Source organism: Homo sapiens, chromosome 13 (genome assembly GCF_000001405.40).
Source record: "Homo sapiens chromosome 13, GRCh38.p14 Primary Assembly".
NCBI classification, from domain to species: domain Eukaryota; kingdom Metazoa; phylum Chordata; class Mammalia; order Primates; family Hominidae; genus Homo; species Homo sapiens.
In genome coordinates, this window is record NC_000013.11 from 77,703,411 (window position 1) to 77,719,348 (window position 15,938).

At 36.1% G+C, this 15,938-nt stretch overlaps 1 protein-coding gene across 4 annotated transcripts in view; it reads left to right on the forward strand.

The window, feature by feature from the left end:
- Nucleotides 1-15,938, forward strand: part of SLAIN1 (SLAIN motif family member 1) — a 66,543-nt gene that overhangs the window by 5,724 nt on the left and 44,881 nt on the right. The gene's annotated exons all lie outside the window — the stretch shown is intronic.

Sequence of the window (15,938 nt, forward strand, 5' to 3'; positions counted from 1 at the left end):
TTGATTTTCAGTGAAAAGACCAGAGGGTGCTTCCCTTTTTGACAGTGCTAATTGAAAATGTACAATGTTTTCTAGGAGCAAATGGAGTTGACTGAAGTGTATGACGTGTGTTTGAAATAAGTAACTTTTAAATGTTGAAGTGAGGTGCTGAAGTAGTTTACCTGCAACTGGGCGAGGCAGGGTTGGGGGTGGAGGGAAAGTTTGTTATAGGACAGCTTAGTAAGTAACGCTTGAACTTCATGTATCCTTTTAAGAGCCTGTTGGAACTAAGTATTGTAGTGGCTATCTAGTTTGATCCTAGCAGGTGCCAGTGACTCAAACACTGTTACAGAGAACTAAAGATTCGTTGATCGTGCTTATTAGTGTTGATGTTTCAGCTTTCCTTAAAATAAAACTTGCAGAGATTGAAGGCTCTTAAAATTATTTGTCTGAAAATTACCACATATTACTTTTCAGTGGCAGGTCTAAAAAAAAAAAATTATATATATATATATACACACACACATATATATTTTTATATGTGTATATATACACATATAAAATATATATACATATGTTTTATATGTATATATATACATAGAAAATATATATACATGTTTTATATGTATATATATACATAGAAAATATATATACATGTTTTATATGTATATATATACATAGAAAATATATATACATATGTTTTATATGTATATATATACATAGAAAATATATATACATATGTTTTATATGTATATATATACATAGAAAATATATATACATATGTTTTATATGTATATATATACATAGAAAATATATATACATATGTTTTATATGTATATATACATAGAAAATATATGTACATATGTTTTATATGTATATATATAGAAAATATATACATAGGTTTTATATGTATATATACATAGAAACTGTATATACAGAGGTTTTATATGTATATATACATAGAAACTGTATATACAGAGGTTTTATATGTATATATACATAGAAACTGTATATACAGAGGTTTTATATGTATATATACATAGAAACTGTATATACAGAGGTTTTATATGTATATATACATAGAAACTGTATATACAGAGGTTTTATATGTATATATACATAGAAACTGTATATACAGAGGTTTTATATGTATATATACATAGAAACTGTATATACAGAGGTTTTATATGTATATATACATAGAAACTGTATATACAGAGGTTTTATATGTATATATACATAGAAACTGTATATACAGAGGTTTTATATGTATATATACATAGAAACTGTATATACAGAGGTTTTATATGTATATATACATAGAAACTGTATATACAGAGGTTTTATATGTATATATACATAGAAACTGTATATACAGAGGTTTTATATGTATATATACATAGAAACTGTATATACAGAGGTTTTATATGTATATATACATAGAAACTGTATATACAGAGGTTTTATATGTATATATACATAGAAACTGTATATACAGAGGTTTTATATGTATATATACATAGAAACTGTATATACAGAGGTTTTATATGTATATATACATAGAAACTGTATATACAGAGGTTTTATATGTATATATACATAGAAACTGTATATACAGAGGTTTTATATGTATATATACATAGAAACTGTATATACAGAGGTTTTATATGTATATATACACACATAAAATATATACTTGTGTGTATACATATGTGACTGTACCATTTGTTTTTTGTATTATCTGCAAAAAGATGACTTTAGAACCAAATATTTTGAGAATAACTGAGACTTTGTTTTCCAGACAGTTGTCATACTTCATTGGAAACATTCAGGGTTATCATGGGCTTTATATTATTTTTGTTCTCCCAGCATAGAATGTGATGTGTATGGAAAAGAAGGGGTTCTATGAGAAGGATAGTAGTTTCTGGTGTGTGTGGTTTGGAAGCAATTTAAGAAAAGTTAAAGAAAATTAGAGTGACATTCCAAATAGTAGTTTGAAATGTATATTTCAAATATAATTTGAAGAATTCTGAAAATTTAGATTAAGACTTTTCAGATGCTCTTGCCAGAATCCAATATACCATTAATGAAACTACTGAAGTTGAAAAAAATGTTTATAAGTCACTAGAATGTATGATGTACTAATGATGGCCAGATAGGACATTGTAAATGTTACTTGCATTCTAATGACATTGAATAAAGTGATTTTTAAAATGACTTTTTGGAGGGTTAGAGCTATATAGGAGAAATACAGATTTTTTTTTTTTTTTAAAAACCTTGCCTATCTAATTTTGGAGCTGTGTTGTACTCAAGGAGTTTTTAGCCACATGATCTCTATAACTAGTTTTTTGTATTATCTGCAAAAAGATGACTTTAGAACCAAATATTTTGAGAATAACTGAGACTTTTTTTTTCTAGACAATTGTCATACTTCATTGGAAACATTCAGGGTTATTGTGGGCTTTTTCTTTCTTTAAATCCAGCTCTAGGCCAAGTCATAGAAACACTAGGCTCAAAGCTATCCTGCTCACTGTCAGGAGACTGACTCTGAAAATGATCACTTCTGTCTTAATGCCATACATTTGTATAGCACCTCAACAGTTTTATCAAAATAATATAATAACATGTTAGTAGTTTTCAAAACTCCCCTTGTTAGGCTTATTACAGGAAGCAGTCCTCTACTCCCTCCTCCTGCTGAGTCCTTCACATAGGCATCACTTTATACTCTACTAGCTGTTTCTTTTTCCTAAACAGTCTTTATACTTTTATGATCTTAGACATCTATGGACTTATTATGAAAGAAGAAAACTTAGCTCTCTTCCTCTCACCCTTGACTACCATATCTCTTTTCCCTTCTCATAATGGTTTTTATGGTTTTTCTTTTATATTTAATGTCTGCATTATGATTATAATTTACTAGCTAAGTCCTGTTAATTGCATGTTAAACATGTATTTTCTCTGACCCCTTTGTTCCTCCAAGAGTTAGTAATGGCACTTCTTCTCTCCTCTTCACTTTCTTTAATTACCTATCAGAAATTATTTCCCCAAACACGCTAAAGGAGCCATAAAATCCCTCATTAAGGTCATACACATTTGGCAGTCTGTTAAATCTGCTTTTTTAAAATTTATATTGTAGTGCTATCCCCTCTGAAACTCTTAATCTCATTGCTCTAGTTTTTACTGTTTGCCCCCTAAGCTGGATGCATACTGCTGTTGCCATGGGAACTCTTTCAGTTTCTTGGCAATGTGGATTCCCTTCTTCTTAAATCCTTTTCGTTTGTATTTTTTTTATTCTCTTAGGTGGGGCACAGCCTTCAATAGCTTTCTGAGAAAGGAGACCTGCAGGAGAGGCACACTTTGAGATCCTGCGTATTTGAAAATGTCATTGTTCTGCCCTTACATAAGATTCATAGTTGGACTGGCTATAAAAGTCTAAGTTAACCTTTCCCTCATGTTTGAAGGCACTGTTCCATTTTGTTCTAGCTTCTGTTATGTTCTAGCTGTTGAGTGCACTGTGTTTGGATATCTAATCCTTTTTGACTTTTTCTTTTGCTTCCTTTATTCCTAGTATTCTAAAATGTCATGTTGTACCTTGGTATGGGTTATTTTATTTAATATACTGGACATTCGTGCACACTTTCACTCTAGAATTGCATGGCCTGACTTCCACTCTGGAAATTTTCTTGCTCTTTTTTTTTTCTTCAAAATAACTTTCCAGTTTCTTTCTTTTCTTTCTTTCTTTTTTTTAAGAACTTGTAACAGACAGATGTAGGTCATTCCATCTGGCTTAATCACTTGATTTTCTTATCTGTCTTATCCCATTGCTAATCTGTTTTTATTTTGTTTTCAGGAGACTTCTTCAACTTGATATTCCAAACTCATTTACTGACTCTTTTGTTTTTGCTATGATAGTTTCATTTCCCAAGCATGAATAAACTGTTTTTTTCAATATCCATGTGTATGTGTGTGCTTGTGTGTGTGTGTGAATGTAACATTTTCTTTTAGATGATATAAATTATATTCGTCTTGACATTTTCATCTGTTCCCTGCATTGTTTTTCTCTTTGGTTCTCTTTACTCCCTCTACTTTTAGTCTCAGTGTTTCATGTAAAAGGAATATTTCACATATTTGGTGTCACTGGTTGTCTGTTCATACCCAAAGGAGGTGCCGAAGCCGATCTAAAGCTCTTAATGGATGGAGCTCCTTGGTGCAGTTTACTAGTGATTGGATGGGTAGCCAGGCCACATTCAAGCATCTCTAGGTCTTCTCTTGGATTCATCTTTTTCTCTATGCATAAACCTTCTATACTCCTAGGAGATGTAAGCAAGGCAGTCATTTCTAGGAATATAAAGAAAGAAATGGGACCAGAATTCTAACGAGTCAGCATGTGGACTTCCATTTAATGTTTGGTTAAGTAAGGTACCTCATTTATCCTTCAGCTAAGTTTGGTGTGCCTGAAGTCAGGGCTTCTCTGGATCAGCTTATTCACATAGCAAAGTCTCTGATCTCAGGTTGAGATGAAGAGGGGTGGTAGGACTGGCTGTATTGGAGGGGATTTGGGATTCCAGTTGTCCCTTAGGTAGACTTTCAACTGGATTCACTGCTTTTAGTGCCATGATCATCCCTACCTTCTATGAAATGCGGAGTGGGAATGAGATATAGTACCAGACAATAGGAATTGGACTATGGAGTATGAAAGAGAAATCTCCATAAGTGAACATGGCATAGTGGGTCACTTAGAAACTGAATGTGCCTGTAGAAATGAGCACTGCTTTTGAATATGCTGTGAGGCAGTGTGGACAAATGAAATATTTGTATCACATAGGCCCTAAGTAATTGAAGACACCTTACTGTGGTGTTCCCCTACAAACAAAAAAAGGACTCTATCAAAAAAAGTGAATGGGAGTATCTGGAATCCAGAGTCAAGCTGGTTGGAGGAAGCTTCCTAGCAGCAGAAGAGATCAGCAATTCTCCCATTGGATACTGGAGGTAACAGGCAGAGCCGTGCTTTAGATAGCAGTTTCAGATGGTAGCTGAGAGGGATTTGAAAACAACAGGCACAAGCTCAGACAGAAACATGAATTCTCCAGCAGGGGTTGACAGACACCTCATACGGGAGAGCTCTGGCTCGCATCTGGCAGGTGCCCCTCTGGAACAAAGCTTCCAGAGGAAGGAACAGGCAGCAATCTTTGCTGTTCTGCAGCTACTGCTGGTGATACCCAGACATACAGAGTCTGGAGTGGACCTCAGGAAAACCCCAGCAGACCTGCAGCAGAGGAGTCTGACTGTTAGAAGGAAAACTAACAAACAGAAAGGAATAGCATCAGCATCAATAAAAAGGACGTCCACACAGAAACCCCATCCAAAGGTCACCAACATCAAAGACCAAAGGTAGATAAATCCACGAAGATGAGGAAAAAACAGTGCAAAAAGGCTGAAAATTCCAAAAACCAGAATGCCTCTTCTCCTCCAAAGGATCACAACTCCTTGCCAGCAAGGGAACAAAACTGGACGGAGAATGAGTTTGATGAATTGACAGAAATAGACTTCAGAAGGTGGGTAATAACAAACTCCTCCGAGCTAAAGGAGCATGTTCTAATACAATGCAAGGAAGCTAAGAACTTTGAAAAAAGGTTGGAGGAATTGCTAACTAGAACAACCAGTTCAGGGAAGAACATAAATGACCTGATGGAGCTGAAAAACACAGCACGAGAACTTCATGAAGCATACACAAGTATCAATAGCCAAATCAATCAAGCAGAAGAAGGTATATCAGAGATTGAAGATCACCTTAATGAAATAAAGCATGAAGACAAGATTAGAGAAAAACAAATGAAAAGGAATTAACAAAGCCTCCAAGAAATATGGGACTATGTGAAAAGACCAAACCTACATTTGGTGTACCTGAAAGTGACTGGGAGAATGGAACCAAGTTGGAAAACACTCTTCAGGATATTATCCAGGAGACCTTTCCCAACCTAGCAAGACAGGCCAACATTCAAATGCAGGAAATACACAGAACACAACAAAGATACTCCTCGAGAAGAACAACTCCAAGACACAAAATTGTCAGATTCACCAAGGTGGAAATGAAGGGAATAAAGTTAAGAGCAGCCAAAGAGGAATTACCCACAAAGGGAAGCCCATTAGACTAACAGCGGATCTCTCTGTAGAAACCCTACAAGCCAGAAGAGAGTGGGGGCCAATATTCAACATTCTTAAAGAAAAGAATTTTCAACCCAGAATTTCATATCCAGCCAAATGAAGCTTCAAAAGCGAAGGAAAAATAAAATCCTTTACAGACAAGCTAATGCTGAGAGATTTTGTCACCTCCAGTCCTGCCTTACAAGAGCTCCTGAAGGAAGCACTAAATATATTGTTGTTGTTGTTGTTGTTTTTGAGACAGAGTCTCACTCTGTCACCCAGGCCGGAGTGCAATGGCGCGATCTCGGCTCACTGCAACCCCCGCCTCCCAGGTTCAAGTGATTCCTCTGCCTCTGCCTCCTGAGTAGTTGGGATTACAGGCACCCACTACCAGGCCTGGGTAATTTTTTGTATTTTTAGTAGAGGCGGGGTTTTGCCACATTGGTCAGGCTGGTCTTGAACTCCTGACCTCAGATGATCTGCCAGGCTCAGCCTCCCAAAGTGCTGGGATTACAGGTGTGAGCCACCGCATCTGGCCTTGGAAGAACTAACAATGGAAAGGAAAAACCAGTACCAGCCACTGCAAAAACATACCAAATTGTAAAGACCAGTGATACTATGAAGAAACCACATCAACTAATGGGCAAAATAACCAGCTGGCATCATAATGACAGGATCAAATTCACACATAACAATATTAACCTTAAACGTAAATGGGATAAATACCCCAATTAAAAGACACAGATTGGCAAATTGTATAAAGAGTCAAGACCCATTGGTGTGCTGTATTCAGGAGACCCATCTCACATGCAAAGGCACATATAGGCTCAAAATAAAGGGATGGAGGAATATTTACCAAGCAAATGGAAAACAAAAAAAAACAAAACAAAAAAACATGGGTTGCAATCCTAGTCTCTGATAAAACAGACTTTAAACCAACAAAGATCAAAAGAGACAAAGAAGGGCATCACATAATGGTAAAGGGATCAGTGCAACAAGAAGAGCTAACTATCCTAAATATATATCCACCCAATACAGGAGGACCCAGATTCATAAAACAAGTTCTTAGAGACCTACAAGGAGACTTAGACTCCCACACAATAATAGTGGGAGACTCTAACACCCCACTGTCAATATTAGATCAATGAGACAGAAAATTAGCAAGGATATTCAGGACTTGAACTCAGCTGTGGACCAAGTGGGCCTAATAGACATCTACAGAACTCTCCACCCCAAATCAACAGAATATACATTCTTTTCAGCACCATGTCACACTTATTCTAAAATTGACCACATAATTGGAAGTAAAACACTCCTCAGCAAAGGCAAAAGAATGGAAATCATAACAGTCTCTCAGACCACAGTGCAATCAAATTAGAACGCAGGATTAAGAAACTGACTGAAAACCGCACAATTACATGGAAACTGAACAACCTGCTCCTGAATGACTACTGGGTAAATAAAGAAATTAAGGCAGAAATAAGTTCTTTAAAACCAATGAGAACAAAGACACAATGTCCCAGAATCTATGGGACACAGCTAAAGCAGTGTTCAGAGGGAAATTTATAGCACTAAATGCCCACCAGAGAAAGCAGGAAAGATCTCAGATCAACACCCTAATATCACAATTAACAGAACTAGAGAAGCAAGAGCAAACAAATTCAAAAGCTAGCAGACAACAAGAAATAACTAAGCAGAACTGAAGGAGATAGAGACATGAAAAACCCTTTTAAAAAGTTAATGAATCCAGGAGCTGGTTTTTTGAAAAGACCAACAAAATAGATAGACCGCTAGCCAGACTATTAAAGAAGAAAAGAGAGAAGAATCAAATACACACAATAAAAAATGATAAAGGGGATATCACCACTGATCCCACAGAAATACAAACTACCATCTGAGAATACTATAAATACCTCTATGAAAATAAACTAGGAAATCTAGAAGAAATGGATCAATTTCTGGACACAAACACCCTCCCCAGACTAAACCAGGAAGAAGTCGAATCCCTGAATAGACCAGTAATAAATTCTGGAATTAAGGCAGTAATTAATAACCTATCAACCAAAAAAAGCCCAGGATCAGATGGATTCAGAGCCAGATTCTACCAGAGGTGCAAAGAGGAGCTGGTACCATTCCTTCTGAAACTATTCCAAACAATAGAAAGAGAGGGGCTCCTCCCTAACTCATTTTATGAGACCAGCATCATCCTGATACCAAAACCTGGCAGAGACACAAATAAAAAAGAAAATTTCAGCCCAATATCCCTGATGAACATCGATGTGAAAATCCTCAGTAAAATACTGGCAAATCGAATCCAACAGCACATCAAAAAGCTTATCCACCACGGTCAAGTCGGCTTCATCCCCGGGATGCAGGGCTGGTTCAACATATGCAAATCATAAACATAATCATCACATAAACAGAACCAATCACAAAACCACATAATTAATAGGTGCAGAAAAAGGCATCGATAAAATTTATCACCCTTTCATGCTTAAAAACTCTCAATAAACTAGGTATTGATGGAATGTATCTCAAAATAATAAGAGCTATTTATGACAAACCCACAGCCAGTATCATACTGAATTGGCAAAAGCTGGAAGCATTCCTTTTGAAAACTGGCACAAGACAAAGATGCCCTCTCTCACCACTCCTATTCAACATAGTATTGGAAGTTCTGGCCAGGGCAATCAGACAAGAGAAAGAAAGAAATGGTATTCAAATAGGAAGAGAGGAAGTCAAATTGTCTCTGTTTGCAGATGACATGATTGTATATTGAGAAAACCCCATCATCTCAGCCCAAAATCACCTTAAGCTGATAAGCAACTTCAGCAAAGTCTCAGGATACAAAATCAATGTGCAAAAAATCACAAGTATTTCTATACACTAATAATGAACAGCCAAATCATGAGTGAACTCCCATTCACAATTGCTACAAAGAGAATAAAATATCTAGAAATACAACTCACAAGAAATGTGAAGGACGTTTTCAAGTACTACAAACCAGTGCTCAAGGAAATCAGAGCGGACACAAACAAATGGAAATACATTCCATGCTCATGGATAGGAAGAATCAATATCGTCAAAATGGCCATACTGCCCAAAGTAATTTATAGATTCAGTGCCATCCCCATCAAGCTACCATTGACTTTCTTCACATAATTAGAAAAAACTATTTCAAATTTCATATGGAACCAAAAAAGAGCCCATATAGCCAAGACAATCCTAAGCAAAAAGAACAAAGCTGGAGGTATCATGCTACCTGATTTCAAACTCTACTACAAAGCTACTGTAACCAAAACAGCATGGTACTGGTACCAAAACAGATATATAGACCAATGGAACAGAACAGAGGCCTCAGAAATAATGCCACACATTTACAACCATCTGATCTTTGACAAACCTGACCAAAACAAGTAATGGGGAAAGGATTCCCTATTTAATAAATGGTGCTGGGAAAACTGGCTAGCCATATGCAGAAAACTGAAACCAGACCCCTTCCTTACACCTTATGCAAAAATTAACTCAAGATAGATTAAAGATTTAAACGTAAGACCTAAAACCGTAAAAACCCTAGAAGAAAACCTGGGCAATACCATTCAGGACATGGGCATGGGCAAAGACTTCATGAGTAAAACACCAAGAGCAATGGCAACAAAAGCCAAAATTGACAAATGGGATCTAATTAAACTAAAGAGCTTATGCAGCCTACTGAATGGGAGAAAATTTTTGCAATCTATCCACCTGACAAAGCGCTAATATCCAGAATCCACAAGGAACTTAAACAAATTTACAAGAAAAAAACAACCCCATCAAAAAGTGGGCGAAGGATATGAACAGACACTTCTCAACAGAAGACATTTATGCGGCCAGCAAACATGAAAAAAAGCTCATCATCACTGGTCATTAGAGAAATGTAAATCAAAACCACAATGAGATAGCATCTCACACCAGTTAGAATGGCGATCATTAAAAAGTCAGGAAACAACAGATGCTGGAGAGGATGTGGAGAAATAGGAACACTTTTACACTGTTGGTGGGAGTGTAAATTAGTTCAACCATTGTAGAAGACAGTGTGGCGATTCCTCAAGGATCTAGAACCAGAAATATCATTTGACCCAGCCATCCCATTACTGGGTATATACCCAAAGGATTATAAATCATTCTACTATAAAGACACATGCACACGTATGTTTATTGTGGCACTGTTCACAATAGTAAAGACTTGGAACCAACCCAAATGCCCATCAATAGTAGACTGGATAAAGAAAATGTGGCACATACACACCATGGAATACTGTTCAGCCATAAAAAAAGGATGAGTTCATGTCCTTTGCAGGGACATGGATGAAGCTGGAAACCATCATTCTCAGCAAACTAACACAGGAACAGAAAACCAAACACTGCATGTTCTCACTCATAGGTGGGAGTTGAACAATGAGAACACATGGACACAGGGAGTGGAACATCACACACCAGGGCCTGTCGAGGGGTGGGGGGCTAGGGGAGGGATAGCATTAGGAGAAATGCCTAACGTAGATGACAGTTGATGGGTGCAGCAAACCACTATGGCACGTGTATACCTGTGTAAAAAATCCTGCACCTTCTGCACATATATCCCAGAACTTAAAGTATAGTAATAAAAAAATAAGGAAAATTGGTGAAAAAAGTATTGAGATAAGGAAACTCCACAGTTGACTAACTAGTGGCTCATTTCTGTCAGGGCTGTGGTATTCATGGCTTTTTACATACGTGGTAGATGGCAGCTATGAATTTCTCATCTTAAGAACACTGAGTACTGGTCATGGTGGGTCACACCTGTAATCCCAGCACCTTGAGAGGCTAAGGCAGGAAGATCACTTGAGCCCAGGCTTTTGAGACCAGCCTCGACAACATAGGAAGACCACATCTCTACAAAAAAACTTATAAAATAGCTGGGTGTGGTGGTGCATGCCTATGATCCTAGCAACTCAGGAGGCTGAGGTGGGAGGATTACTTGAGCTCAGAAGGTCAAAGCTGCAGTGAGGTGTGTTTGTCCCACTGCACTCCAGCCTGGGTGACAGAGCAAGACCATGTCTCAAAACAGAACAAACAAAACCACAAAGCAGTGATTCCTTATCTTGTGACTTTTTAAAAACTGCTTTATTGGAATACAATTAATATGTAAACTGCACATTCTTGTAATGTACAATTTGATAGACTTTAACATGTATATATACCCGGGAAATCATGACCACAGTTAATGTGTAGTGAACAGATTTCAACACTTGAAGTTTCCTGTGGCCCCTTGTTTTCCTTATTCTTTCCCTCCTGATCCTTGCTACCTCCAACCCAGGCAACCCCTGATCTGTTTTCTGTCAGTTTAGATTAGTCACCCAGACTGGAGTTCAGTGGCACTATCTCAGCTCACTGCAACCTCCACCTCTCGGGTTCAAATGATTCTCTTGCCTCAGCCTCCTGAGTAGCTGGGATTACAGGTGCATGCCACCACATGCAGCTAATTTTCGTATTTTTAGTAGAGACAGGGTTTCACCATGTTGGCCAGGATGGTCTCGATCTCCTGACCTTGTGATTTGCCCACCTTGGTCTCTAAAAGTGCTGGGATTACAGGCAGTTTGCATTTTTTATAGTTTTATATCAATAAAGTCACAGACTATGTACTCTTCCATTTGTTTGTTTTGGTCTGGCTTCTTTCAAGCTAGATAGTTATTTTGAAATTTGTGTTATTACATGAATCAGTAGTTCATTTTTATTGTGGGAGCTGTTAGATTTCATCATTGTAACCATGGCTTGTTTATCCACTCATCTTTTGATGGGCACTTGGGTTGTTTTTAGTTTTGGGTTATGACAAATAAAACTGCAGACATTTATGTTTAAGTCTTCATATGAACATGCTTTCATTTCTCTTGGGTAAATACTTCTGACTTGAGTGTCTGGAACAGAGAGTAAGTGTAGGTTAACTTTTTAAGAAGCTGCCAAACTCTTTTCCAAAGTGGTTTCACCATTTTTCATTTTCATAACCAGTGTATGAAGTTTTCAGTGGCACCAAATCTTTCTTAACACTTGCTATGGGTAGTATTTTTCATTTTAGCCATTCCAATAGGTATGTGGTAGAATCTCATTGTGGTTTTAGCTATTTTTCTAATGATTAATGATGAACATCTTTTCATATAGCTGTTTGCCATAATAGGTCTTCTTTGGTGAAATGTGTAATCGAAACTTTTGTCTATTTTTAAAATTGAGTTGTTTGCTATTTGTAGTTTCTTGTTTTCTGCATAAAAGTTCTTTGGTAGATATATGATTTGCAAATATGTCTTTCCCAATCTGTGGTTTATCACTCATCCTTTTAGCAATGTCTTTCAAAAAGAAAAGTTTTTAATTTTGATGAAGTCCAATTGATGTTTTTTCTTTTATGGATCATATTTTCAGTCTTATAAATTGTATCTAAGAAGCATTTGCCAACTCAAGGACACACATACTTTTACCTTTGGTTTCTTATAAAAGTGTTACTGTTTCAAGTTTTACATTTTTGTCTGTGCTCTATTTTGAGTTAGTTTTGGATAGTGTTTGTACTGTGGATCAAAGTTTTGTTTTTTTTTTTCTCACATATAGATACCCATTTTGTTCCAACACCATTTATTTAAAAGACTATCCTTTAAATTGTGTTTTACTAAAAATCCTCCATATATGTGTGGTTTTATTTCTGGGCTATTTTTTTCCACTGATCCGTTTATTTTTATGCTACACTAAACTGTTTTCATTACTGTCATGAGCTTCAATCAGTGGTATAGCTCTCCATTTTTTTTTTTTAACATTTGTTTGGCTATTCTAAGATCTTTGCATTTCCATATGAATTTTAGATCATCTACATTTCTACAAAAAAGCTTGCTGGAATTTCTATTGGGATTTTGCAAATTATGTGGACCAATTTAAGGAGAATTGACATCTTAATATTTAGTTTTCTTACTCACGAAAATGGCATATCTCTCCAGTTATGTCCTCTTTAATTCTCAGAATGTTTTGTAGTCTTCAGTGTTCAGGTCCTACACATCTTTTGTCAGATTTATCCTTAAGCATCTGATGGTTTTTTAAAAAATGCTATAGTAAATGAAAAGTGAAATTTTAAAAATATGAATTCGTTTGTTGTTAATATATATAAGTATACAATTGACTTTCCTACATCAATCTGGTATCTTACAATCTTGCTACTAAACTCACTTATGCTATTATCATTTTTGTAGATTCTTCAGATTTTTTTTACATAGATGATCATGTCATCTGTGAATAAAGACAGATTTACTTGTTTCTTTCCAATGTAAATGTTTTTAATGTAATGCCTGATTGCATTGGCTAGGATCTTCAGCAGAGTGTTAAATAGAAGCGATGAGAGCCAATGTCTGTGTCTGTTTGATATCACAGGCAAAGCATTCAGCCTTTTACCATTAACTATGCTGTTTTTGTAGATGCCTTCAATCAGGTTGAGGATGTTTCTTTCTGTTTCCGATTTGATGAGAATTTTTATCAGGAGTGGATGTCAAATGCCTTTTTTTTCTATTGATATTATATACTTTTTCTATTTTAGTTAATCTGATAAGTTATATTGATGTTTGAATTTGTACCAACTTTTTATTTCTGATATAAACCCCACTTATTAATGGTGAAATATGCTAATGGTGAAGTTAGACTCAATTTACTGAAATATTTAGACTTTTTACATCTGTGTTCATGTGTGATATTGGCCGTTAGTTTCTTAATTTGTAATGTCTGATTTTGGTGTCAAGGTAACACTGCCCTAATAGGATGTATTAGGATGTATTCCCTCCTCTTCTGTTTTTCGGAAGAGTTTGTGAAGAACTGATGTTTTCTTTAAATACTTGGTAGAGTTTAGCAGTAAAGTCTTCTGGGCCCAGGTTTTTCTTTGTGGGTAGTTTTTTATTTTTTATTTTTTGATTACTTTTCTGGCTATTTACTTTTAACTTATTTGTTTGCCCATGTTTAAGGTGCGTTTCCTGTAGGAAGCATATAATTGAGTCTTTTGTGACACTTCCACCTCCCTTTAAGGAAAAACTTGTCCGCAAGCTTATCAGATGATTTTCTCTCAGTTTCTGTTGGCTAGGATTGTGTCTGGGGCGTGGGCCTAAACCAGTCAGGCAAAGGGGAACAATGAAAATACCATGATTGGCTTAGCTGAGTGCCTCTCAAGATGTGGTCTCCAGACCGGTAATATTAGCATCACCTGGAAGCTGCTTAGAAATCCAGATTCTTTGACCCTATGCATCAAACTTTTAAGGGGTGTGGTTTAGCAATTTGTCTTAACAAGATGTTTAAGTAATTTTGAGGCATGAGACATTGAGAATAACTAGCCTGGACTAACCTATACTTGTGAGTAGGGAGAAGTACCGTGTACTGGGCAGTTTAGGCTATGTTGCAAGGAAGTGGAAGGGATTATTACCTACATAGGTAGGTGATAATCTTGCCATAGTAGGACTGAGCTGGGGCCCAAGAATATGATTTTTAACTATATATACTCTTGATGGAGTCACAACTGTGCAACACACTCTAAGGAAAAAAAAAAATATATTGGACTTACAATTAAATCCATTGAGATCTATATTTTAGAGTCCTTACCTGTAACTGGAGTGAACAAACTGTCTCAAGGGCAAATCAGAGCCGTTGCATGTTTTGTATGGTGGGTAAGATACGGTTTTATGTTTTTAAATGATGAAAAAAAATACAAAGAATGTGAAAACTATGGGAAATTCAACTTTCAATGTCTATAAATCAATTTTAAAGGAACACAGCCACGTTTATTCGCTTACATATTGTCTAGGATGCCTTTGGACTGGAATGGCAGGGCTGAGTAGTTGTGACAGAGATCATGTGGCTTACAAAGCCTGAAATATTTACTTGCCGGTCCTTTACAGAAAACATTTGGCAATCCCTGATCTGTAAGAATAATTTACTGAAGAATAGTACATTCCCCAACCATCTTGTATAACTGATAAATTACTCTAATAGGTGAACGTTTTGTCTAGAACAGTGAAAGTATGAATAATGAAGTATGTTATTTCAAGAATATGTGCTTATTAGAATTGTGGTAGCTTTGTTGGAAAGAAGATTACTTTAGATTTGTAATTAATGTAAGCTTATAGTAGTAAGGTGTCACGTATTAGAGCCAGCAGTTTTGGGGAGGTAATTCACCCTCCCCCCTTTTTTAGTTAACTGCTGTTTATTCCTCAAGATAAACCTTTCTGTATAGCCCTATCACTGAAAATATTCTAAAATCTACCTTAACATGGCATATTAATGAGAGAAGCTTTTTTATAACTTGCAGTGCCTCCGGGTAGTCATTTTGAATACTATCCATTACTGTGTAATTGTGTAGGTGCTGAAAGTGAAGTCTTCGTAAAACATATCTTTTAAAGCTCTTTGTTTGGCTTTAATGAAAAAGAAACATATACCAAGGTTAGTATAGATTTGAGACAGGAGAAATATGTGATTATGTAAGGGTTCAAAGAATCAAGTGACTGGCTTTTACGGGTGTTTAGACTTATTTTTAAAAAATACACATAAGATTTGCCTTGTTTGTCACATCATGTTTACCTTCATTAGCCCAAGTTTACAAAAGATTCTGTTGCCAAAGAGAAAGATGAAAATGTTCATTTCTTGACATGTCAATAGAGATAGTAAGATCATGATAGTGCCTTTTTAGGGCTAGTTTAGTTAAAAAAAAAAAAAAAGCCCTTGATCTCTGATGCTGAAACACACAGTTAGGGGGAAAATTGTTAGACCTTTTTTTGGAAGTTCTCACCAGG